This window comes from Homo sapiens, chromosome 16, assembly GCF_000001405.40.
Source record: "Homo sapiens chromosome 16, GRCh38.p14 Primary Assembly".
Taxonomy (NCBI): Eukaryota; Metazoa; Chordata; class Mammalia; order Primates; family Hominidae; genus Homo; species Homo sapiens.
The window spans coordinates 65,155,589-65,183,077 of record NC_000016.10 but is presented as its reverse complement, the minus strand read 5'-3'; the positions used below and the strand labels follow the sequence as shown (position 1 = coordinate 65,183,077).

At 38.5% G+C, this 27,489-nt stretch overlaps 1 long non-coding RNA gene across 1 annotated transcript in view; it reads left to right on the top strand.

Annotated features, from left to right (window-relative positions):
- Positions 1 to 6,504: 6,504 nt before the first annotated feature.
- LINC02126 (long intergenic non-protein coding RNA 2126) overlaps positions 6,505 to 27,489 on the top strand; it is a 34,818-nt gene continuing 13,833 nt past the window's right edge. Inside the window, exons 1-3 of the long non-coding RNA NR_110918.1 lie at positions 6,505 to 6,623; positions 6,878 to 7,010; positions 7,759 to 7,912. This is a non-coding gene — a long non-coding RNA (long intergenic non-protein coding RNA 2126). The remainder of the gene's footprint in view (positions 6,624 to 6,877; positions 7,011 to 7,758; positions 7,913 to 27,489) is intronic.

The window sequence follows — 27,489 nt, the reverse complement described above, 5'->3', positions numbered from 1 at the left end:
GCTCCAAAATGGGGTTACTAATACCGATCTATTCAGATTTTAGTGAGATACAATAAGGGAAGACAAATAAAATGACAACTATGGAGTTTGACACACAGAAGTATTTACTTGAAGTTATTCCTTCTATTCTTCTTGTTAGAGGATGCAGTCTCAAGTGATGGAATATTTGATGATTTGAAGTCAAATACTGGAGTCTGTCTGGTGAATCTGAGTAATTCGTGTTCTAGGAACCTCGATTTTTTCAACCATAAAATGGAGCAATGAGTAGCTATTTTACATGGTTGACAAAGTATCGGTCTTCATTTGCTAGTGTTCATTGGATGGATCATGTTACATTTTTGTTGTTGTTGTTGTTGTTAGTGTTTTCTCTTTGAAATGGAGTCTCACTCTTGTCACCCAGGCTGGAGTGCAGTTGCACGATCTCGGCTCACTGCAGCCTCCATCTCCCAGGTTCACGCAATTCTCCTGCCTCAGTTTCCCAAGTAGCTGGGACTACAGGCTCCTGCCACCATGCCCAGCTAACTTTTTTATTTTTAGAGGAGATGGGTTTTTGCCATGTTGCCCAGGCTAGTCTCAAACTCCTGATTTCAAGTGATCCGCCCACCTTAGCTTCCCAGAATGCTGGGATTACAGGTGTGAGCCACCACACCTGGCGATTATGATACATTGTATCACCTTTTATAAAATGAGCTTCAACGAAAAACAAGGCATGGTTATAAGAGGTTTGCTCAGAATACAACAACCAATCCAGGGAAGGAGGAACTAGAACGGTCTCTTCTTGACTAATTAATTGGTGATGAATACAAGGGAGAGAGGGCATCCTAAACTCTAAAGAACTGGGAAAGAAGCCAAGTGTAAATATTTTCTTTTCTGAATAATTTATTGTCTAACATGATTATACTAATTCAATTAACAGCAAACAATATATTTGAAAATCGACTGAATTCTATGTGTCAGACACAGTACTAGGTCTTAAAAGAAATGGAAGAAGACAAGAGAAGAAAACACAATCTCTTACCTGACGGTTTCCAGTGTAAGCAACCCACAAGCAAATAAGAGTGGGGAGTTAAATCGGTCATTCGAGTAACAGTAAACATACTGATCCTGATGCACGAGAAGCTATTTCTTGGCTTCACCTCTTTTCCTTAGGTGGCCAATACCTGCCTTTTGCAAGGAGTTAATTCCTCAATTAGGAACCCAACAATTTTGACAGTTTGAGAAAGAACTAAATCACAGAGGTAAGAGAAGATTGTGCTTCCCAAGAGAGGCTCACACAGGGACACAAAAAGACCTTGAACATCTATAAAACATGGGCCCCCACTGAGAAAGGCAGAATGCATTTTATATTTCTAAACAAACTTTAATATTTTTCATCTGGAGTTATTTCTATACTATCAGCAGAAAAAAAAAGGCAACCTCTGCATGTGGTTGTGTATTTATGAGTGAGTTTTATCTGTAAACAGATTTGTAACTAAAAACAGAAATATCTTTTTATGGGAGACAGCTGGTTGAGAGATTAAAGATACACAAGGAGAGAGAGGGGCTCAAATTAACAAACATTCCTAGACGTAGAATGTCTGTGAGTATTAGGAATCTTCTAACTTGTGACCTAAAAAACATCTAATCCCCACTGGTTTTCCAGCATAGGTTTCAGCCTACTTGGCATTTAGAAGAGAAATGAAAACAAAAACAAAAGTTGGAAAGCCTAGTGCAAAGCTATAATGCTTCAAAATCTCAAGGAATCATAAATAACTATAAATACTATGTGAGCAAAAAATTCCTAAATATGTAGTTTCATTTGCGGGATTCAGAAAAAAAAAATATTCAAATTAGGCCAATTCTGGGTTTGCTCCCCCCCTTGTGGAGTACAATAACATGTGTGTCTGCAATTTGGATTTGATTCCTAAGTTTCTAGCATCTGCCACATGTTTGTGCTGAGAGCGTGCTGTATTGGAATAAAACTATTCTTGGGTTTATTTTTCAAAGGACGCTAGCAAGCATGGATTTACAAAACTTTTTATTGAGGTTGGGTGTGACTCTTTGAATCTAGTAAACCAATCCCCAAATAGGATTTGGTATACCAATAATCAAAACATCTTCAGTTATTTTCTTTCTACTCCAGGAATGGATTTTTAAATAAAAGGCCAGAGCTCAGGCTGGCTTCTTTGCTGTGGTCACGGTCATGGGAACTTTGATGGGAGAGGGTTTGAGGGCAATCACTTTCCTGCGGTGAGCTCTATGCTCCAACTCGAGTCATTCGTGCTTTAAGTTGATTTAATTTCTAGAATCACCTGAACAAGACCAAGGCCTAGAGTTGGTTCTACTCAATGATTTTCCTGCTAAAACCAAAGTCGCATTGATTAGGATTGGCTGATCCTGGAGAAATTAGGCAAGGTTAATTTCCTACATTTTCCCTCTTACGCTAGCTGGTTATTTCCCAAAATTCCATTATTAAAATTAATTTACATTTTAAATTTTTTTCATAAAGGAAATGCATATGTCTCTCATAAGTGAAAAACCATTATCAATCACAAGTAAAATGTCATACAACAAACATCTTATATACAATTGTATATATAATATATAATACAATGTGAAATACATTTTAAAATACATACAATGAACAGAAAACAAAGCAAGAAATTACTGCTTCTGAAAGACTCTTAAGCCTGATGCTTACTCTTTTGTGACTGTTGTTGTTTAAAGGGAGGTTGGAAGGTTTTAGATAGATGTTAAAGACAGATTACCAATAAATATATTAACTGGACTGATTACTAAAAACATTACATGTTTACATTATCTAATATTTAACGTCATGTGCTCATACTACCGTGAACACTCTTCTTTAATACTGTCGGTATTTTGTATTCCAGGCTTTGAAAAATCCTTCTTTAGTAGACAGCTGTTACTATTTATATTGAAGCCATATCACTTGATAAGGCTGAACATTTTAAGAGCTTATCAGTCATCAGCACCTATGGGGTGCAGGTTAGATTCCTTTTTTTAAATTAAATTTTATTTATTTATTTATTTTTGAGATGGAGTTTTGCTCTTGTTGCCTAGGCTGGAGTGCAATGGCGTGAGCTCGGCTCACTGCAGCCTCTGCCTCCTGGGTTCAAGCAATTCTCATGCCTCAGCCTCCCAAGTAGCTGGGGTTACAGGCGCCCACCACCATGCCCGGCTAATTTTTTGTACTTTTAGTAGACAAGGTGTTTCACCATGTTGGCCAGGCTGGTCTCGAACTCCTGGCCTCAGGTGATCCGCCCGCCTCGGCCTCCCAAAGTGCTGGGATTACAGGCATGAGCCACTGCGCCCGGCCAGCTTAGATTGTATTCTGCTCCCTTTCCTGCCGATCAACCCCGCCTTGCCTCATCTTTCTCATTCTAGGACTCAAACACAGGGTGACACCTGTACTCTCTTATACCTCCACACTTTTATATACATTGTTTCTACCCTCTGTAAAATTATCCCCTCAAGAGAGTTCTTCCTTTCACAAACATGTCTTGGTCCTTCTAGACAACCCCCTTCACCCACCAAGATTCAAAGAATATTTAGAGGACAACTCGATGATAGATATTTAATGCACTACACTTCAAAGAATTTATTAATCAAAAATATTTATGTAAAGGTATAAAGATAATGGGTGCAAGAGTGATTATTTTAGCATTGTTTGAAAGGAAAAAAATGGAAGTTATGATAATATGCTTACATATGGGATTGGCTAAATAACCATGTTTCATCCATAAAATATAATATTCTAGAGTGGTTAAAAATAATGGTCTCATCTATATTCTCATGTGGGAAGATAGCCGTTGTGTCTATACAATTTACCGAGCCCCTCCTCTTTCTTTACTTGGATTGTTTAATCCATTTATTAAATCTTCATAAAATTGCTAAAGAGTAGCAGAGCAGTATCACCCCATATTACACATGAAGAAATCAGGACATAGAGTTATTTGACCAAACTCACCCTGTTAGTGGCAGAGCCAAGATTGAACCCTAGGAATGCTGGAGCCTTAGATAGTGCTTTTAAATTTCAGACTGCATTGTAGATCATGTGGTTTGGTTCTGTGTCCCCACCCAAATCCCACCTTGAATTGTAATAATGCCCACATGTCATGGGAGGGACCCAGTGGGAGGTGATTGAATCATGGGGGCAGGTTTTTTGTGCTGTTCTTGTGATAGTGAATAAGTCTCACAAGATCTGATGGTTCCCCTGCACATGCTGTCTCCTGTCTGCTGCCAATTAAGATGTACCTTTTCTCTTCATTCATCTTCCACCATGATTGTGAGGCCTCCCCAGCCATGTGGAACTGTGAGCCCATTAAACCTCTTTCCTTTATAAATTGTCCAGTCTTGGGTATGTCTTTATTAACAGCATGAAAACAGATTAATACAGTAGGTCTTGAGGAACATACATCAAATTGTTAACTCTGTTTATCTTGGAAGGAAGTAGCAAGTGTTATAAGGCATATTTCTGTGTCCCTGTCAGGGAACATGGTCCTTGATTCCCTGATGACCTGCACTCATTACCTAATCGATTCCATTAAGCACTAATTAGGGAGTAGAGACATGCAAGGGGACATTTCTATTTATGATCTGGGTCCAATATCAGGTTGCTAGTGTTACACTGAGAGCCCCAATGTCAGGCGTAAAGACCTTTCAAAAGAACTCATCCCTGCAGGACTGTATTTTCACAGCCACATTCCTGCTGATCTCATTTTGGGTCACTGGCTCCCAGTCATGATTCCTCATCATTTCCTGCCTTCTTGACCTTCTCAGTTGAGCAGTTCTTGTACCGAACTCACCTCAGTTCTGTTTGATTTTTATGTCTTCTAAGATTTAGAGTCTTTCCTAAGGCTGCCTGTGTATCAAAGCTCAACTTACCCTTTCTTTTGTGGTACGGGGATTTTTATTTCCATGATAATGCTGAGCCTGAACAATTGTTCCCAAGTTAGGATGGGTAAGACTGAAGGTGATTTTATCCTATGGTTTTAATCTTTGGATCACACCTGTCTTTTCAAGGTGAAGCACAGAAATATATTCTAGGGAGCTGTTGATGAAATCACTGAGGCTGGAGCTGGCTAATTTTTAAGTAAATTGTAATAACTATTGGCAATTATTCTGATAATCTCTCTTTGAAAACAAAAGCTCTGGGCAGCATGACAAGTATCTTGGAGTACCATCCTACTGACAACAACATAATTATTATTATAGCTGTTATTATTCCCCAGAAGTTTATTTGCAAACTTTAAATGGCAGGTAGTTTTAATCTGGTTTGCTGCCAGATACCGGGTGTCCCTCCCTCTGTCTTGGTTAACAATGCCTATAAACATCACCTGGAAATAAGTCTGCCTTGCTTGGACCATTTCTGTGATACAAAGTGGTAAAAGATGATGAAACATCAGGGGATTTAACTATATCAACATGATTGGCATTGCTGCTGGTGCTATTATTACCATGAATATAGGGTCTTATATGGGAAAGACACTATAAGCTCATCGCATTAAGACAAGACTTCTTGTCTTCCCAAGGAAACAGCAAGGCAAACCATTTCAGAGATTATGACATTAAGGACCTGAGAGGTCATGTGATTTGATGAAGGTCATCAGTAAGTGGTGGAACCATGATTTTTTTTTTTTTTTTTTTTTTTTTTTTGAGACAGGATCTTGCTCTGTCACTCAGGCTGGAGTGGAGTGGCATGATCACATCTCACTGCAACCTCTAACAGCTGATCTCAAGTCAGCCCCCTCCTCAGCCTCCTGAGAAGCTAGGACTACAGGCATGTACCAGCACACTTGGCTAAGATTTTTATTTTGTGTAGAGATGGGGGTCTCAATATGTTGCCCAGGCTGGTGGAACCATGATTCTGATGTGCACTTTCCTGACCCAGAACCCCAACACATTATCCAACTCAGGCTTCCATGGAGTAACCACAAACTTGCTCTTGGTGTCATCCCACCTTTGAAAGGAATTCAATCGACTCTGAAATGCTGAGGGCATTCAGCATCTGACAAATCCGAGTGTTAAGGAAAGGTACCTCTAATTCCTGGTTTGGAGCCACCATGAAGCTGTGGGGACCTATGAATCGGCGTCTTCTCTTCTTCCTAACCACAACTATGCATATTGGAAGCTCCAATACCTCCACACTGTGCTGCCTCAGCACACAGCTGTGGGATGTCTTCCAGAGAAGACGTTTATTTTCACTGACCCATCCTCTCCCACGCTTTAGTTTTATTTTTTTTTAAATGGGTCAAAGTGTGAACAATCATCATCCACATGAAATCTTCCAGCTGCTTCTGGAGCTGTTTGGAGACCAACGTCTGAAAGCCAACTCTTCAATCATTTCTCAGAGGGAAGAGCCCTGGGGACAAGGCCAGGGCTAAGAGGGACGAGAGAGCCAGGAAAGTCCAGGCCAAGGGTGCCTCTTGAACCTTGTGGCTGAGGGGAGCAGGCTGTTGGGATGATCAGCAGACATGGAAAGTCCTTCCAGCTCTACCCCTGTGTATTTCCCAGCGAATGCTCTCGGATTTTAGGACTTACCTCCTAAAATTTTCACTTGGTCTAAAGCAAAAGGCCCCAGGCTTTCTGTCAGGAGCTGCAACTTTTCATCTGATGAGGAGGTAATGAGATTTGCTGAATTCTGGCTATGGGGTTCTGTGTTAAATACTTTTTTTAATCTTTTTTTTTTTTGAGACAAACTTCACATAACATAAAATTCACCATTTTAATTATTTTGAAGAGTACAATTTGGTGGTTTCCAGACCACAATGTGCAACCATCATCACTATCCATGTTCAGAATATTTCCAGCACATCATCTCACAGAATCCCATCAACACTACTATGAGGTAAGAATTCTTGTTTGCATTTTACAGATGAAGAGATGGCACATCAGAGAAAAGTGACAAAGGTGGCAAAGGTGTGGAGTGGTGCGACTGGCATTTCCATTCCAGAGTGCATCACTTCAAACCTTACATTCCTGAGGCTGTTCGTCGAAGGCTTCTCACAGTAAGCTTTCTTGATATGTGGAGGGGCTTAGGTGCAACAAGAGGCTGTGCTTTACTTCTCCGAAGGAACACAGAAAAGCAGATGGGGGAGAAACAGTTGGTGGCATCAAGCTTTTAAACCTACCAAGAAAAAATGAGAAAGCTACCAGGAGATTGCAATCTGTAAATTAGGAAGCGTTGTGTTGGGGGGGTGGGTGGTAGCAGGTGGAGGTTTATGACTTTGATGCAAATGGAGCAGTGGGTATAAATAAAAAAACAAACAAAAAAAGAGTGTGAGTTTCCACCAGAAAGCCTACATGTACGTCCATATGTGGATCAGTATCTCACCAGTCCTATTTCAGGCATTTCTCTGCAGAACTCTTGTCATTTCTCTGACGGATGAAGGTATACTATGCTCTTAGCCAGTTATCAGCAGGTGAGCTAAGCAGCTCGTGTAATGCAGGGCCAGGGTTAGTATAGGTGGGAGCTGTTAGTGAGGAAGAATGGGTACAAGAGTGAGGAGAGTCATTCTGGACAGGTGATCACACAGCGTTAGAGGACATGAACTCAGGTGGTAAAGGCAGGCAGCAGGTTCCTTTGGGCAAAACCCAAAGATGGAGAGTTGTGATCTCTTGCATTAGAGATGGATTCAGGCAGAATACTGGAAGGGAAGCGAGACTGGGACCCCTGAGGCCACACCTACAGCTTTTATTCTTGGAGCAGCAAGCAGCAGGCTTTCCTAATTCATTTTTTTTCTCTCTCTCTTGCAGTCTAAACTGCAGTTCATTTATTGCAGAGCCCTGTTCACATGGGTTCTCAGAGACATTTTCATTCTCGCTTCTCACCACGCTGGAGATGAGAACTAGATGTGGTTTTCTAGATACAGTCTACATTTCCCTTTGAATCTGGAAGTCCGGCTTCAAGGTCAAGTATAGCTTCTTTCTTCTCATTGTTGGTCAGTGAGTTCCCTGGGATTCTCTTCCTTTCAGTTTATGTTGGTCTGAGTGTTTGGAGTTTGCAGCTGAGCCCCTCCACCTGAACCCTCAAGCCTCCCCTGTCAGTTTCCTCAGTGACGCACTTCAATTACACATACCCCCTTTGAATCCCTCACTTTCTAAAACTGCTGAAGTCTCTTCATAAAACAAAATATTTTAAAACATTTCCTTGAAGAATCAACAGAATACAAAGTTGATTCTCCCCCAAATTAATCTGTAGGTTTAATACAATTCCTATTAAAATCTCAGCAAGGTTTTTTGTAGACATAGACAAGCTTATTCTAAAATCCATATGGAAAGGCAAAAGACATAGAACAGATAAAGCAACTGTGAAAAAAAAAAGGGTAAAGGAGTCATCCTGTCTGGTGTTAAGGCTATTCTATGGCAATAATAATCAAGGCAGACTGGTATTGGCAGAGAGAAGGGCACAGGCCAGTAGCACAGAATGGGGAACCCAGATATAAACCTATACAAATACACCCAACTGATTTTTGACAAAAGCACAAAAGGGTAGCCTTGCCTAAAAATGGTCCAAATGGGCCAGGTGCGGTGGCTCACACCTGTAATCCCAGCACTTTGGGAGCCCGAGGCGGGTGGATCACCTGAGGTCAGGAGTTCGAGACCAGCCTGACCAATATGGTGAAACCCCGTCTCAAAAAACGAGCAAACAAACAAAAATAGCCAGGTGTGGTGGTGAGCACCTGTAATCCCAGCAACTCGGGAGGCTGAGACAGAGGAATCACTTAAACCTGGGAGGCAGAGGTTGCTGTGAGCTGAGATCATGCCACTGCACTCCAGTCTGGGTGACAGAGCGAGTTTCCGTCTGAAAAAGAAAAAAAACAAAAGAGTCCAAATGTAGCATTTGGACATCCACAGGCAAAACAATAACAACATCAACTAAATCTGGACTTTAAACTCACAACTTGTGCAATTATCAATTTAAAATAGATCACAAACTTAAATAAAATATGTAAACCTATAAAACTTTTGGAAAAAAAGGAAAAACAAGATAAAATCATTAAAATCTGGAGTTAGACAAAAATGTTTTAGACTTGATACTAAAGGCAAAAGCCATAAAAGAAAAATAGGATAAATTGGCTGTTGTCAAAATTTTAAAAATTTGCTCTTTGAAATACCCTATCAAGAGGATGAAAAAACAAGCTACACACTCTGAGAAAGTATTGGCGAACCGTGTATCTGGAAAAGGATTAGTATCTAGAATATATAAAAATCTCTTGAAACTCAAGAGAACAAAAAACTAATAAAACGTTCAAATTAGAAAATGGACAAAATACATTTAGAGCCATTTCACCAAAGATATAAGCAAATAATGGCAGATAAGCACACGAAAAGATGTTCCTCACTAGCTGTTATAGAAACTCAAATTAAAACCATGATGAGATATCATTACATACCTATTAGAATGGCAATAATAAAAATAGAGAAAACACCAAATGCTGAAAATCTGGAGGAGCAACTGAATCACTCATCCATTGTTAGTGGGCATGTGAGATGGTACCACCACTCTGGGTAACAGTTTGGCAGTTTCCCATAAAACTAGATATACAACTACTTTATAACTCAGGAGTCACAGATGGCATTTATCCTAGAAAAATGAAAACTTAAGTTTATATAAAAACCTGTACATAAATGTTCATAGTAGCTTTATTCATACTAGGGAAAACCTATAAACAACCTAAATGTTTTTCAACAGGTGAATAATTCAACAGACTGTGGTACATCTATACCATTAATTACTATGCAGCAGTAAAAACAGAGTGGACTACGACTACACACAGAAGCTTGGGTTGATCTCAGGGGAATTATGCTGAATGAAAAAAAGCCAGTCTCAAAATATTACATGCTGTATGATTCCATTTATATAACATTTTTGAAATAGAAAATCATTATGGAGATGGAGATTAGTCATTGCCAGACCTTTGGGTTGGTGTAGGGGATTGGTGGGATAATATAAAGGATGAAAAGAATAAGACAAATAAGTAGTCTGTGGCAATGAAAACATTCTGTGTCTTGAATTGAATGTGGTGGTGGTGGTGTTTACCCAAATCCACGCATGTGATAAAACTGTATATAACTATACACACACACACACACACACACACACACACACACAAGTTCATATAAAACTGGTGAAACCTGAATAAGCCTTGTGATTTATATCAATGTCAATTTTCTGATGTTTTTGTTGTACCATAGTTATGTGAGATGTCATCATTGGGGAAAAGTTGGTGAAGGCCATATAGGACCTCTTGGTACATATTTTGGCAACTTCCTGTGAGTCTATCATTATTTCAAAATAAAAAGAAAAAAATAATAAAAATTCCCTTGAGCATAGTACTCCTACAAATGATCACCATTATTTTATTCCATGAAATAAAGCCTACAGTTACCTCCCATGCTTCTCTCAGGCATTAATTCTATCACTTACAATCTCATTTCCCTTCTACCAATTCATTCCAATTATTTTCCGTGAGGCCTGTGACTCTTTGGCCCCTTCTAGAGGAATTTGATCATATGGTGAATATTCACTGCACTCTGTCCTGAATAATTCTAATTTGTTGAAAGATGTTTGAGTAGGAAAATGAGAAGCAATTTCTAAAACACTGATGCATTAGTTTGTTCTCATGCTGCTAATAAAGACATACCCAAGACTAGGTAATTTATAAAGGAACGAGGTGTAATTGACCCACAGTTCAGCATGGCTGGAGAGGCCTCCAGAAACTTGCAATTCTGGTGAAAGGGAAAGCAAGTACATCCTTCTTCACATGGTGGCAGCCAGGAGAAGTACAGAGTGAAGGTGGGGAAAAGCCCCTTATAAAACCATCAGATCGCATGAGAACTCACTCACTATCACAAGAACAGCATGGAGATAACTGCCCCCATGATTCAATTCCCTCCCACTGGGTTCCTCCCACAACACGTGGGGATTATGGGAACTACAATTCAAGATGAGATTTGGGTGGACTCAGCCAAACCATATCACTTGATTTAAGCAAATTGCTTTACTGCTAAATTTCTGAGATTCTTTAATAAGGTGTTTTACTCTAGGAATCTCTGAGACTGTCAGAGCTTAAAGCAACACCCAAAGTTTCCTTCTACTTTCTTTCACGGAGCTAATTCATGGGACTGGTGTTCCGTAGAGACCAGTTTTAGAAATTTTGTTATGGAGTATACGATGACTACACCCCTATGCACCCACACATGCTTACATATCATTCTGTTTTTACATTCTTTCTTTCACCTCTGTGTTTCTTCATAATCCATGTTGTTGGTTCTATTGATATCTTTCTAAAGGCTCTCTCACTGTGTGTGTGTTTGTGTGTGTGTTTGTGTGTGTGTGTGTGTGTGTGTGTGTATAACCTTCCATCCCATTTCCCAAACTGCAATCCTTATTGTTTCACAAGATTTAGACTTAAGGATTCACATCGTTTATTCTGCCAGTCACTACTTGGTGTCCATTTTTATTTATCTCTATGAGTCATTGCCCAAATCTGTCTCTTCAGCGAGATGATGCTCCTCTAATTCATACTCATATATCCAGTCAATACCTGGGCATCTCCAACTGGTGTTGTGAAAGTACCTCCAAACCAACTGCTTCAAAATTGAATTGAAACCTCTCCAATCCTTCTTCCCAGTTTATTATTATTATTATTTCAGGAAAATCCATCTTCACCAATCCATTCATCTAAGTGAGATACCTGGGGGTCATTCTGGATCCCCTACCTGCCCTCTCTCAAAATCATAGTATTAGAACCAGCATTTGTAGGGTATCAATACTTTCCATGTGAAGTAAGCTTTATATACCCACTTTATTAGGGAAAATGAGGTTTAGATGTTTATACCAAAACAAATGTGGTGGACCTATGTTGCAAATCCATGCCTTAGTAATGCCAAATTCCAGAGTCTTTTCACTTAACCACTCTACTTCTTTTAGAATCAATCTTTCAAACACATTTAACATTCATTCTCTCCTTCTAATTTTATCTGCAAATCCCCATAGCTTCATTCCTAAACTTGCAACGGTCTCCCTAGCTCACTTTCCACATCCAAACTTTCTCTTCTCCAATAAATCATACAGCCAACAGATTCTCATGATCTTCAAAACACTTATTGGCTCCCATTGAACACTCGATTAACTTTCCAATTTTTAGCCTTGCATTAAAAATAATTTACAATATGTCCCCCCCTTTATACCTGTATATGTAAAACTGCACTATTTTCTTTTACTAATCAAACCCTCACCTTTCTAACTTCTTATTTTTACCTGTGCCTTTGGTTTCTACATCAATTTACTGGAATCAAAATTTCAGGACTGGAAGTTCTGGGTCCTAGTTCCAGATCAGGTTTCCTTGTTAAATATCTTTGAACAAATATCATTAAATAATATAAAGAACTGTCAGTAACACATGTGGTGAGGAAAGCAGGGGGAAAATGGGTGTAGTAACAAGAAAATATTGATGTGAATCCAAATGATTGCCCACAATCATATCTAGAAAGAGTTGTAAAAGAATGGGTGGAAATATAGATGTGTTGATAGAAGCCCACATGGGGGAATAGTTACCAGATTACAGTGTGTCTCACAGAATAAGATTTGAAAAATCTTATTAGCTAACTTATTAGCTAACTTCCTACATGACCTGACCTGAGATACTAAACAGTTTCCTTTGGTGAGCTCCTACTCATGATGGCGTGAAGACTCAAGTGATACTCAAGCCCTAATTATTATAGTCCCCCTTGTTCCTGACATCCTAAGAGTAACAATTTTCTAGTTAGTACACATAAAACAGGAAGACATATTGAGGGATCATAAAACTAATGGCAGAATTCCTTGTTCTGCCCCATCAGTGATTTCCTATGGACTTTCATTTCCTCATAGTAAATTAAAGACATTGGATTAATTAATGTGGTATGATCACCCTTGTCTTGGAGTGTTGATTCTCTGAGCCTCCTGCTTATAAGGTAATTTTGAATGAAGCTGTTTTGTTAGTGTGGCTTTCACTAGGCTGATCTCAGAGAACTATGAATTACTTTCTGCATAGGCAGGATGTGACTACGGGGCCTCAGTAGATCATCTGCATCTGTCTGAGCCTCCCTTGGAAAGCTCCCCTATAGGTCTTCGTTTCTACTGCAGGTTTGATTCCCTGAGATGGAGATGAATGCTGCAGTTACTTTATTATAGAGTACTCTTGGAATCAACACCTACAAAAGGATAGGGAAGGAAAAATTGGGTAGATGGAGTGATGAAGATGCAAGGTAGTTTTAACAAAGGATTCGAGTGATGTCATGAGGACATCTGAAGCTGGGATGGCCTTTTAGAGTTGGAGTGAAGAAATAGGTCTTCACACTCCTGTGTCAACGAGACATTGGATGCATGCTGCACCAGTTGGGCAAGGCAGTACTCTTCCGCCAAGGCTCTTCCCAAAGATAACTGGTTGCTGAAAGGTATTTTCCAGCAGCATTTTCAGTAGCTGAATAAATAGGCTCTTTACTCATATGTGGGTCTGTGTAGCCCATTATAATGGTGGATTATTTTTCCAAGTAAATTTTTGTGACTGAACATCAGTAATATTTGAGAGAGACATCAGAAGGCTTTGGGCTGGCAGAGGTGTCTTAAGGAGTGGTTAGACTCTTTGTGCTCTCTCACTGCATGGAGAATGATCTGGCACTAGTTATAGCTATTTGCAAATTCCTCAATACATTAATTGTTATTGATATTGGTAGAGTGATTTATTGCCTGGTGACTGTACCTCTTTCTGCCAACCCTTTGTTGTCTAGCTAATTTAACTCTTCAATTCATTTTCCAGCCAGAAGACATCATTTTTACTCCTTTTTGAATTAGATATCCATTGTTCTTTTGGATGAGACTAGGTTTACTTGTACAAGTTTGACTTGATAGGTAGACAACTGGATGAGATAAATGGGAAAAATGAATGGGTTTATGGATGAGTGGATGAGTGTGCCTGATGGAAAACAGTACCTTCTGACCAGTTATCTTGAATTCCTTCCTCTTCCCCTTCTGTTCAATGTCAAAGAGAAAGAAGGAGGCTAAAACTGAAATTCTGGCGTGAAAGAGGGAATAAAGTAAAATAAATTGCATCAGTGCCAAAAGGGAACATTCCTGCTGATCTCAAATGAACCATGTTTACGTACATCCCTATTCCCTTGCATGTGCAGTTATAGCCATCTTTGATTTCTTAGCCCCTACTCTGGCTCTCCACCCATCCTTCCTTATCCCCCCAAAAAAACTCCCCCTGACTACTCCCTCTTCAATAATATACATTGTTCTCTGAACTAATTTAATATTCACTGCCTGAATAATATATATCAGCATAAGAAAGATTTACTGATCACATACTTATATTCTGCACCAGGGATGGTGTTAGCACTTCAAGATTAAAAATAAATAGGCCGGGCGCAGTGGCTAACACCTGTAATCCCAGCACATTGGGAGGCCAAGGCGGCTGGATCACCTGTGGTCAGGAGTTCAAGACTAGCCTGACCAACATGGAGAAACCCCGTCTCTACTAAAAATACAAAATTAGCTCGGTGTGGTGGCACATGCCTGTAATCCCAACTACTCGGGAGGTTGAGGCAGGAGAATCGCCTGAACCCGGGGGGTGGAGGTTGCAGTGAGCCGAGATTGTGCCATTGCACTCCAGCCTGGGTGATAGAGCGAGACTCTGTCTCTAAATAAATAAATAAATAACCAAAGCTCATTTTCTCCCTCAATTTTTTTTTAAATTTTTACATATTATATAGCAGTACAATACAGTAGTCATTATCACAGAAGTGCAAATCACTCAGGATAGATGGATAAAATAATGATGCAGGTAGAGAATGTTGTCTGACGTGAGATCCTAAACCAGGAGTAGTACAGAGAAGTCAGAGAGTTAATTGGAGAGTCAGAAAAATAGTGTCCTCTTTAGGGAAACACACACACACAGCCCCTCTTATGCATCTGTCATCAGAGCATATTGGGTCAATGAATGAATGATGACAAGGTTTGCACCATGTCATGTTCATAGTCATAAATCCACAAATTTAAGAAAAAGTTTTCTTTTTTTCATTTTTTTTTTTTTTACTATTTTAAGGCTTTATTTTGAGTCTTAATATTTCTCCTTATTTTCCAGTTTGTGGCAAACTCATTTATAGTTTGATTTAAATAATGAAGCATTTTTCATAGTGATCTTTTCACACTTTAGAATACTCACTTGGTTGTTTCCTCCAAACATTTATATTAAGACATTTGGGAGCAAATGTGTAGTCAATTTTCAAACATTTCAAACAAATTTCAAAAGTCAGAAATCAAACATGCATTAAATCTAAATTTTAGCAGTTTATCAATGAAATAAAACAGGCTAAAATCTGAGTTGTCAGTTTGTCATTTTGGTTCAAGAAGGAACAGCTGAAGAAGAGCAGGCTTTCTCATAAGTTCAGTGCTATAGTATGAAGCACTTCATTTATTGCCAACTTTTTAATACATGTTGTTTTGAATTTTGAATTTTTAAAATAATTACGTCTCTTACTCACCACCCTCCTACACATGCATACTCTCATTAGGCTCAGGCTACAAAAGACAATGCATTTTGCCCTAAACACACCATATTTTCTCATTCTTTTCAATTTTGTTCATGGGTTAATTCAGTGATAAATGCTTTTTGTAACATCTCTCTCTCTCTCTGTTGCTTAACTCCCTGACTTCCAACATGAGAATTAGCCACTGTCTCCTCTGTCTAGCATACATCATATTAATGTGTGTCATTATAAATGTTTGGCACATGGGATGTGTTTAATAACATCTATTGAATTAAATAAATGCATAGACTACAAGAGAAAATGAAAGACCAAGAAATAAATGCTTTTGTAAAATCTCAATGAATGGAAACTGGATTTTTGCATTTTGTTATGTATAAATCTTGACATGAAAGAAAAATATTGTAAATAAATAATCAACTCTAGTTAATAATGTGCACACTGAAGTAGTTAGGGAAAGTGTACAGGTATCTGAGATTTACTTTGAAATGTGTTACAAATGAATTGATGGATGGACAGAGGGATATATAGATGCGTGATTTTAAAAATGAGTATAGTAAAATATTTATGGTAGAAAGTAGGTGGAAGAGATGATTGCTCACTGTAAAATGCTCTCAACTTTGCCATATTTTTGAAAAAAATTATAATAAAATGTTTAGGAGAAAAAAGTAAGGTAAAAAGTAAAGATTGATCGCAGAATGTCTAAATGTAAACAAAGGAATCAGTATGATCTCCCTGGACTCTGATATTCAGCATTAACTCATTTTTTTCTTTTACTTAACTTTTAAACATCTACTACAGTTCATATAACAATGTTGTGAACTCTTTGTATGCACCCACACCCAAATATTTTTGAATCAATCTGAGATAGCAACACAACTCGTAAGCGGAGAGATTAATGACGGCTTATGTGTGGTTTTGAGGTGTGGGCAGGGACGTTTTATGGCAACACCAATCCAAAATTTGTCGCAGGATCACAGGGAGCTCTGGCCCGAAGCCATTACATCATTCATATACAATATTTTATTTATTTGGATTTCAAGGCAATAAATTAAAGATCTATTTAAGGGATGAGCATGAAACTTTGGAAATCACATATATCTTTCTTCAGACTTTAGCGTTCAGAGCAGACTCATAAATCTAGGGCTGGAGCTTGTTGGTTAGATCTAAGGAGAATAATGACTGCTTAGCTGGATAGAGCCCAGGATTAAGGCAAGAGTCAGCTACTCCCCGGGAAAGAGCACCAAATTCACAGGCTCATTCACTCAATTTATGACCTTAAGTATGCTAAATATTCTCTTTACCTCAGTTGCCTTATCTGTGAAATGGGACAATAATCACCTGGAAATGCTGTTATGGATTTCCAGCTAAAAATGGGTGAAGGAATATCTGGGTTTGTCACTGATCCCTCCCAACTTTTCACTAAAATGACAAGAAAAGCCTGAAAGAGGCAAAAGCCTAAAAAGTCAAAGAGAACAAGACAGAAAATCAAAGTAGAAAAGTGATGAAAACACAGATTTAGAAGATAGAAAACTGATGAAAGAGTGAAAACTGACTTCCTAAAATGGAAGCAGCTGGGGAATCCAGGAAGCGCAAGCCCCTTTGTATCTGAGAACTTAAGAAAGCCCCTGAAGTTAGACACTCCAGTTGTCTCAGAAGGCAGAATGAGTTGCAGAATCAAACTCAGAGGAGTTTTTCATATGACTTTATGTAAAGTCGCTCAGATCCTCAAGTCACGTCTACCATTTAGGGAGACCAGGTAACCAACACTTACCAACTTCAGTGGAAGACTGTAAGTTTGATACCTAGAGAAAATGAACCAGAAACTCCAGCCTTGGGCTACCAGGCACAGATAAGGATATAAATGAGGCATCATACCAAAAAGGAAGAGAGTAAGTGAATCTCTACAGACTTGAGAGGTGAGACGCCACCTCCAACCCCCTTTCCTCACTTGGCTCCTATAATTTTGATAAGCAATCTTAGAATTCTTGGAGATATGAGGTGGGTTTTTTTGGTTGTTGTTTGTTTATTTGTTTTGTTGTTGTTGTTGTTTTGTGACAGAGTCTCATTCTGTCACCCAGGCTGGAGGGCAATGGCATGATCTTGTCTCACTGCAACCTCCACCTCCCAGGTTCAAGTGATTCTCGTGTCTCAGCCTCCAGAGTAGCTGGGACTACAGGCACAGGCCTCCACACCTGGCTAATTTTTTGTATTTTTTGTAGAGACAGGGTTTCACCATGTTGGCCAGGGTGGTCTCAAACTCTTGACCTCAGGTGATGCACCTGCCTCGGCCTCCCAAACTATTGGGATTACAGGTGTGAGTCACTGCACCTGGCTGAGTTTATTTTTTGACTAGAAAAACTGACCAGCTCAAGAGAAATAGAAAAAAAGTAAATAAATAGATGGATAGATGAGTGAATAGATGGATAGATAGGATAGGATACAATCCAATCCTATACAATACAATACAGTACAACACAACACAACACAATAAAAATAGATTTTGACATTTGAAATCCTCTCAACGAAACAGCTGTATTTCTACCTTATCACCCATACAATGGCTTTCATAAATTAATCTCCCCCCAGTACGTGAAACTTTTAATCAGCCCTCTGGTTCTCATTTTAAGATGTGAATGACTGTCAGTGAACATCACCACTTTAGTGACATCACGAACAAGAATGACGGACACCAGATAAATAGACATATGTAGGGGGAAAATAGTGCACTTGAAGCAAACAGAAAAATGCTGTGAGTGAAGAATTCCTTATTTATATCATCAGGGAGATCAGAGCAGATAATGAATTCATGAAATAAATGTTACAGAAAAGGAATATATATAAATGGGAAAAATATCTTGTATTAAAAATACCACATCAGAAGTAAAATTAGAAGGACTGGAAGAGTTAAGGATCCCTCAGAGGAAAGGGGGAGAAAAGACACAAATAGAGGTTCTTTTCCACAGTTTAATATTTAATGTGTAGATGTTTTAAGAAGAATTAATAGTAAAAATGAAATGGAAAAATTATTAAAGAAATTATTAAGAAAATGTTTCATGACTAACTGACTTATTTCCGATATAAAGCTATATTGAGTGCCCAGCATATTTAATGGGAAATGAATACAAGAGATGTCATCCTGAGATTTCATAATATGAGGCTAAAGAAATAATCCCAAAAGATTACAGAGAGGGGGAAAAGGAGCACAGAAGGAATTTGGAATAATAACTCAGCAGCAGCTAAATCTTTAAGACCTGAAGAAATACTTTCACAACTTTAAGGTAAAATTATTTTCAACCTAATATCCTATATCCAAGCAAACCAGCAACCAAGTGTGAGAGAGTTTTAAGACGATATTTTTAGACATGCAATCTTAAAATATTAGATGTACCATGCACCATCTCATGAAGCCTCTGGAAGAGATATACCACCAGCATGAAAGAGTGAGTCAAGAAAGATGAAGACTTGACATAGAGGAGATGACAGACACTTAACAGGAGAGAGGCAAAGGGAATATCCAGTCTGAAGGTGAAGAGATGTCTCAAACCACAGTTGTATAGAGAACTTTGAGAGCAACCAGTCCATATTGGAGCAGGATGGAGGCTTCAGTGAGGCTGTCTTCCAGAAAAGAAAATGGAACTGATGGTCTAGACCATGTCGAGAGGAGATTTTGCCATTTTGTCAGAGATTCAGGAGATGTATCATTGATAAAGAGGCAAAAAATTAAATGACAATTCCCTCAAAATTTTACCAGGCAACTATTATTTCTGGGGGGAGAGTATTTTTCAAGAAAGGAAGTACATTTATCATATATTGTGATAGTTATAAACACTGTGTATATGCATTCAAAAGTAAACATAATAAACACTGAATGTTGACTTACACAAAATATTATATTTTTAGGAAATCAGAGAAAGAGAGAAAGGAGAGGGCTCGGGAAGAGGGAAGAGAAAGAAGAGAGAAAGAGAGAATGTTTGACAAGGGACAGTGAGTATGAAAGAACTGAACCTCATCTTCATGCTAGAAAATTGATAGATGATATCTAAAGATAAAAAAAGAAAATAAGCATTAGCATATTATTTAGAAATAGAAAGGTGAATAGAATAATTGAAAACAATTAAGAGATTTGTGAACAGTTGTTTCTGGGAGAAAAATGCCAGATTGAGGAAGGTTTACTGAATTTTGTTACTCATAGACCTATGTGATTTCTTTTAAAAAAACTATGCACACATTTTGCACAATTAGGGTTTATCAGTGTCATAGGCTAGTGCACATAGAAGGCAATGAGTCCTAGTGGTTAAGATGTAAACTCTCAGTTGTGTTATCTGGATTCATAGTCTGGCTGTACCTTCAATGAGCTGTGTGACCATGAGCAACTTATATTTTATTTTATTAATTTATTTTTGAGACGGAGTCTCGCTCTGTCACGAGGCCGGAGTGCAGCGGTGCGATCTCGACTCACTGCAACCTCCACCTCCTGGGTTCAATTGATTCTCCTGCCTCAGCCTCCCGAGTAGCTGGGACTACAGGCGAACGACACCATGCCTGGCTAATTTTTGTATTATTAGTAGAGACGGGTTTTTCACCATATTGGCTAGGTGGGACTGGAACTCATGACCACGTGATCCGCCCATCTCAGCCTCCCAAATGAGCAACTTATTGATACTTTCATGGCTTTAATTCTTCCATCTGTAAAATGAAGCTAATTTCATAATAAAATGAAAAACCTATTTCACAGCTTTGTCTTAGGGATTGAAAAATTAGCAAATTTCAGCCTCTTAGAATAGTTTCTAGCAAGTAGGAAGTGCTTAATAAGTATAGTGTCTTTATTATGTATAGTCATTTTAAAAATGACGTGAACATGTAGAAATGCTTATTAATTATATGTTAATTAGCTAGATTTAGTCTTTCTACAATGTCTGTAAACTTCAAAACAATATGTTGTACACAGTAAATGCATACAATCTTCACTGTCCATTTAAAAACATAAATAAAAGGAAGTTATTATAGAACCAAAATAAATAATTAAATTAATACAAGGATACTAAGATCTGTTTTGAGAAATCTGTTACATTAAAAAAAAAAAAGGAAATCACCTGGACATATAGTAATCTATAAGCAACAATTTTCTCTTTTTGTGAAGTTTTCTGTACTTTCCAAAGTTTATGTAGTGAACATCTCATTTTTATGTTCAGAAATAAAAGCTTGGTTTTAAAATGCAAATGAATTTTGGAAGATAAATCTGGCCGTCATAGGGAGAAATGATGTCAAGATTAAATGAGAAACGGTAACATCTGGCACACCCGCACAAGATACAGGGTTTGTCCAAAGGTAACATTCTGAAAGCAAGGTGACTTAACTAGTTTTGTTCAATCTGGGCTCCAGTTGTCAGCTAAAGTCCTCAAAATACATATGCCCATCTCCAACAATATCTGGAGAGATTGCTTTATTCAGATATGTGCAGCAACAGTAAAATATTCAGTCAAAAATTACTTAATCCATTACTCAGAAGCACTGCTGTTAATATATACTAGTGTTTAACAGGCAGTAAACAATTTTAAAATATTTGTTGATTGAGTAGATAAAGACTGTCGGGGTGAGAACTACATACAGTTTACTGTATCATTATCTCAAGTGTAATTATGTAAAGCAACCCAAAAGAGATCCTGATTATATTCTTGATACAAACTTCTAACTCCCTATTCATCAGAAAACTATTCAACTCCATCAGCCAGCACTGTCAGGGACAATTGTATCCACTGAAGTTTCTTTTGAACTTACCTTTTCTTGTGTTGCCTGAGTTCTGCTGATTTGCTTCTATTTGTTCCTCTCCACATTGGTCTGCATTCAGCTGGTGAGTCCCTTATATCAAAGCCCTTGTCACTCTCTGCATAAAATCCCTCATTTTTGCTGATACTGTCATTAATGTTCAATTCATGTAACTTAGCATTGAGAAGGAAACTCGCTTTCCACCAAAATGAATGGCAAATGTTTTCATTTATTCATTCATTTTGTCAACATATTGAGAACACAAGGAGTTCCTGATGTTCCCTCATCAGCAAGACGTTCTTGACCTCAGGGAGCTTGAAGTCTAGGAGAGGCAATGGGTGTTTAACCTTACATCCACAAACAATAGATGCATGCATGTGCTAAAGGACCTTGTCACTCAGATAAGGTGGGTGAGGGTGGACTTGCAAGGGCCCTACATTTACAGTAACTCAGGGGGTTTCCGTGTAACTTTGTCTCATCCCATTACTCTGATGAAAATTTTGAGTTCCATGAGCACTTAAAAGCAAGTCTGTCTTGTTTAATGTTTGTTTGTTTGTTTTTGAGATGGAATCTCACTGTGTCACCCGGGCTGGAGTGCAACAGTGTGATCTCTGCTCCCTGCAACTTCTGCCTCCCGGGTTCAAGCGATTCTCCCGCCTCAGCCTCCCAAGTGGCTAGGATTACAGGAACCCGCCATCATGCCCAGCTAATTTTTGTATTTTTGTAGAGACAAGGTTTCACCACGTTGGCCAGGCTGGTCTTGAGCTCCTGACCTGAGGTGATCTGCACATCTCGGCCTCCCAAAGTCCTGGGATTACAGGCGTGAGCCACAGTGCCTGGCCTTGTTTAATATTTTAACCCCTGTTTAGCACTGTGTCTCATATAGTAGGTGTTCCATGAATATTGGTTGAGCAAATAAAATAAATGAATGGGCTATAGAAGATACACATTGAATGTTTGTTCATTCATCTTTAAATGGATTTAATTCATCTTTCAAATGAAAGAGATCAAGCAGATGATTGCCAAGTCCTGTTTCAGCTCAGATGCTTTAGTTATGTGTCAAGTGGATCTTTTCATAAGAGTGTTGGCCTCTGTGGGATTTCCTTCAACTTGCCTTTAACTGCTTCAAAGAAAAAGCATCGAGCAATATATCACATAGGGCCTTAGAATCAAATGCATAACGACTGAAGGTGTGAAAGAATGGACATGGGCCCTGGAGTCAAACCTGAGTTCTGATTCTGATGCTGCCTGTTACTGAATGAGAAGCCTAGGGTAACTCAGACCCAGCCTCCAGGCTTCAGTTTGTATCATCTCCAAAAAAGCAATAGCAATGTGTGCATGCCATAAAGAGGGCATTTAGTCCGTATTTGTTGAAGAATAAACTCAACAAAGGATAAAAAGAAATTATCTATATCATGTGACATAGTGTGCAGGTGTTCACTTCCACCTTCCACACAGTTGACAAATACCATGATGATTCCTCTGATTTTGCAAGAAAGTGTGCATCATGTCAAATTTTTAAAGAAATAAAACTGCACAACTTTCCTTCTTTCTTGCAGAATTTATATAGAAATGAACAAGTGAAATGAGACAAGCAATTTATTAATCCATTTCACAATGGGCTCATATTACATTATCTTTAAGGTCCTTTAACAAACAAAAATTAATGCCTAGACCCATAAGTTGTTGGCACATTGATAGACTCCTTAATTACAGGATCTTTGGTTTAGAAAATAATGATTGATTATTTCAGGCTGTATTTCACTTAGTTATGGATGAGCCCCTGAATATTTGCACAGAGAAATTATTTCAAAGTTATTATGATTAATAAGTGTTATAGACAGGATGTCTGAGTTATTGCAGAATCTAAGACAATGGAAATAATTTTTTAGAGTATCTGAAAGGGTTGTTCTGAGGCAGATGACAGGAAATGAGGAAAATGAGTTGTGCTTCTGTTGATTTATTCCACAAATATTTATTTGATACTTTCTAAATACCAGACCCTGTGTTGGACACTAAAGATACAAATTAAGATGAGGCATGATGCCAAGAAAACCACAGTATAATGGAGGAAACCAAATCTTGTACAAATAAATTCAATGTGATGGTAGAGGTGCCATGTTAGAGTACATGGAAAGGTTACAAGTGTGCCATTTTATCTGATGTTTTATATATATATCTCACCTCACAAAGGAGATGGCATGAGCTGAAAGCTGGAGACAAGTAGGGACCTCCTCGCTAGATAAAGCAGGGAAGCTATGCCAGGTTGCTGCAATAGCAAGATCATAGGCTGGCAAGTAGAAGGCAGCATTGTGCTGAGAGGCTACTTTCAGGGACTTGGTCTTGGGGTGGAGGGTACCAATGGGTGAATGACAAGGATAAGGCTGGGGAGGTGAACTATCCACTTGGAGTTTGCAAAAAACAAGGAAAATAATCATATTCAAAACAAATTTATTGATATATATAATAATTATACATTTGTATGGGGTACATGTGATATTTTGATACATGCGTACAATGTGTAATGATCAAATCAGGAAGTTTAGAGCATCTATCACCTTCAATGTTTATCATTTATTGGTGTTGGGAACATTTTAAATCTTCACATCTAGCTATTTTTAAATATATAACATAACATTGTTAACTAGAGTCACCCTACAGTGCCATCAAACACTAGAACTTATTCCTTTTATTTAACTCTATGTTTGTACTCATTAACCTACCTCTCTTCATCCCTCCACCCATTTGCAGACTTTGGAAAGTATCATTCTACAGATATATTTTTAAGGACACCATTCTGGTGACAACATGGCAACTTGAAGATGACTAGAACAATATGTCAAGTAAGGGTCTTAAAGTGTGTGGCTCCTTGAGGCTCCTTGAGGCTGTTTGAAAAATAATAAGGATAAATAGTGAGGGGAGGAGGGTGCTGAGGTCCCCCTCCCCTCACCATTTATCCTTATTGTTGAATATATTTGCTATATGCTGGATACAGTAAAGGTAAGATGACTCTTAGAATTCTAAGGGCACTGGGTGTGAGGCAGAGCAAGGTTACTCATGGAAAGATGCAACTCAGTGAAAGAAGTAAGTTTGATGGGCTGGATAGTTTGCTAATTCAATATTATCACAGGAGCCAAAATTACTTTCATTAATTAGGGAAGTATTCTTTTTTTGTTTGTTTCTTTGTTTGAGATGGAGTCTTGCTCTGTCACCCAGGCTGGAGTGCAGTGGCACGATCTCGGCTTATTGCAACCTCCGCCTCCCAGGTTCAAGCCATTCCCCTGCCTAGGCCTCCTGAGTAGCTGGGATTACAGGCATGCACCACCACACCTGGCTAATTTTTGTATTGTTAGAAGAGACAGGGTTTCACTCTGTTGGCCAGGCTGGTCACGAACCCCTGACCTCAAGTGATCCAGCCGGCTCGGCCTCCCAAAGTGTTGAGATTACAGGCGTGAGCCACTGTGCCCAGCCAGGGAAGTATTCTTAACTAGATGTAATAAAGTACTTGACGTAGATAAGTCTTGATTTTCAAAGCAGGGATCCAGGCTTCCTAGGCCTTCTTGTTGTTATAACTCTAAGCAAGGTATAGAGCTTTGCACTTTAGCCTTGCCAACAGAACATAAAAAGAAGCACAGTTCACAGTTAATTTCTGTGGTTGTTGTTCCTGCTTTGGGATTCATTGCATGTTGTAGAAAGGGAGAGAGACTCCTGGTTGATTCACAAGGTAAGGTGATCAGGAGAAGGTTTGGCCAGAGGTGTGAAAAAATATATAAAAACTCAAGGCTTCTCTTAAGTGGGGTTCCTAACCTATATTTGTGTGTCTATGTCCATAGGAATAAAAAATATAGGAGAATGAAATGTAAGTCCAAGATGATCTGATGTGACTTCCATCTTCTTCCCATGGGCAATTCTTGAGATGTGATTCTGTTTGTATTTTGGCTGTCTCTTGTTATGTTCCATCTGCATGGATGGAAATTTCCATCTGCTTGGATGGAAAGTTTAAGGACACAGCAGTGATAATGAAGGTAAGATGTCACTGGATGACCAGCTAAGGGTGCACCAGGACAAATAAAAGGAAAAGAAGTTGAGCATAAGTTAAACTATTATACTATGTGCATAGACAGGGTGAATTAAGGATTGTTCAAGGAATAATAAAAAAGCAAAAATTTAGAGAAGAAAATTTCATGACGTGGGCAGGCAGAAGTCTTCCTCTTTTCACTTCCAACCTTTTGGTGCAACATTTCTTGTCAAAATCCCTAGAGAGACAGCATTGTGTATGGTGGCGCCCAAAATTGTTTGGAACTTTGGCTCAGTCACATGCTATCTATAGACCTGAGGACAGATTATTAAACCTTTCTGTTCTCGATTCCCTTATACATTCATTCATTCATGAAAGCTGGCTGACATGATCATCATTAATTTGGCAGTGATCAGATGAAAAAGTGAAGCCACATTTTACACGTGGGGAAACTGATGTTACAGGGGTTTTATAGCAGAATCTTGACTTGACCCCAAGTTTCTTGATATTTACCACAAGCGTTTTCCATAGGAGATGGCAAAGGAGGGCTTTATGCTGCTTCAGAGGGGAATGGGACTATGAACTTGATTTGGGTTCTGTGGAATCATATCAGTATATTTCCTCTGTCCTCAGATCTGTTTAGAGTTGTGAAGCTTCAAGGGTAACTTGGGCAAAAATATTTGAGTATTTATCAACCCTCCACTTTGCTTATGCTGTTCAGTTCTGGCCTAAGGGAGTCAAACTAGGGGCCTCCCTCACCAATAAAGCCCATCAATCATTCAATCCACCCTGGTCCCCAGCCCACACAGAAGAGCTGGTAAAGATAAAGGGACATTTGCTATCATTTAGGGAACAGCCAGCACATAAATATGGTCATTCCAGATACATGTCTTTTAAGAAAGAAATTGTTTTGCAATAAAGAAAAGTAATGATTATCAGGGCAAGAACCATGAAATAGCAGATTGGAAATAAAATATGCTTTTATTAAGTCCCCATTTCTCTGTGGCAGAAAGGGAAATAAATAACAGAATGCAGAGCTGGGAGCAGAGAAAATATTGCCAAAGGTGGAATCTAATGACTTGACTATGAAACAAAGACTCAGCTTTGGAGAGAGTTAAATATGTTAGTGAAATCAGAACAAATTTTCAAGTTCTCCACTGACCTGACATGCAATGCTTCTTTATTTCCTGACTTTTAAGCTCAAGATGGACCCTTTAATTTTTTTTGTATTCTAATCTCCCTCAATTTTATTCTATAAAGTACTTAGTCATTATTAGGCTCAAATAAATCCTCTGATTCATTAGGATTCATTGAGATTTTATAAGATGGTGTTTTAAATAACACTCCAATTAACATTCTTTGTACTATATGTTTTTATTCTCTGGTAATCTCTCTTTTGTCTCACCTCTGTGTGTTTCCTTGAAGCTATCATAGTCAATTTCATAGAATGAACACATACATATGCACACACACACACACGCACGCACACACACACACACACACACACACACACACAATTTTTCCTGGTAGGTTGTCTAGGCTGGATCCTGACTGCTTTTATTTTGTAGGTCACTGCAATGTCAAATTTATATTGATGTCTTTAGTAAATTGTGCTTTGTGCTAGGAAAAAAAAGTAGAAAATTGTTCATTTTTTTTTCTCTCCCATTCTGAAAAAAAGTCTAATTTTAGCATCTTGATAAATTTATAAATCAGGTTTTAAGGGTTTTTTTTTCAAGTTTCAGGTAACAATAAGTTAAAATCTTATTGACAGATGCTTCATTAATTTTGTTATAAATAAATGTAAATACATTTCTTGATACATTTGGATGTATCCCATAAATATATATATATAAATAATGAATTCTCAGCAAGAAATGTAGCACATTGTTTAACCAAGTGACTTGCATGGTGAATGAAATACGAGCTGAAAGGACATAAGCGCGTTTCAGCAGAAACTTCATCATCGTGTAGTCCCAAGGTACATGGACCCTCAGGCATAAGCATGACAATATTCCCAACAGAAACTTCTCCCTCAGCTTGAGTTCTAGCATAAAAATAACGTGATACAGGCCACATCCAACACATGAGAGTCATGTAAACTGGATGACAATAATCCTTGGCCATCACAAACTATTGAGATTTGGGGGCATTTTCTTAGCAGAACA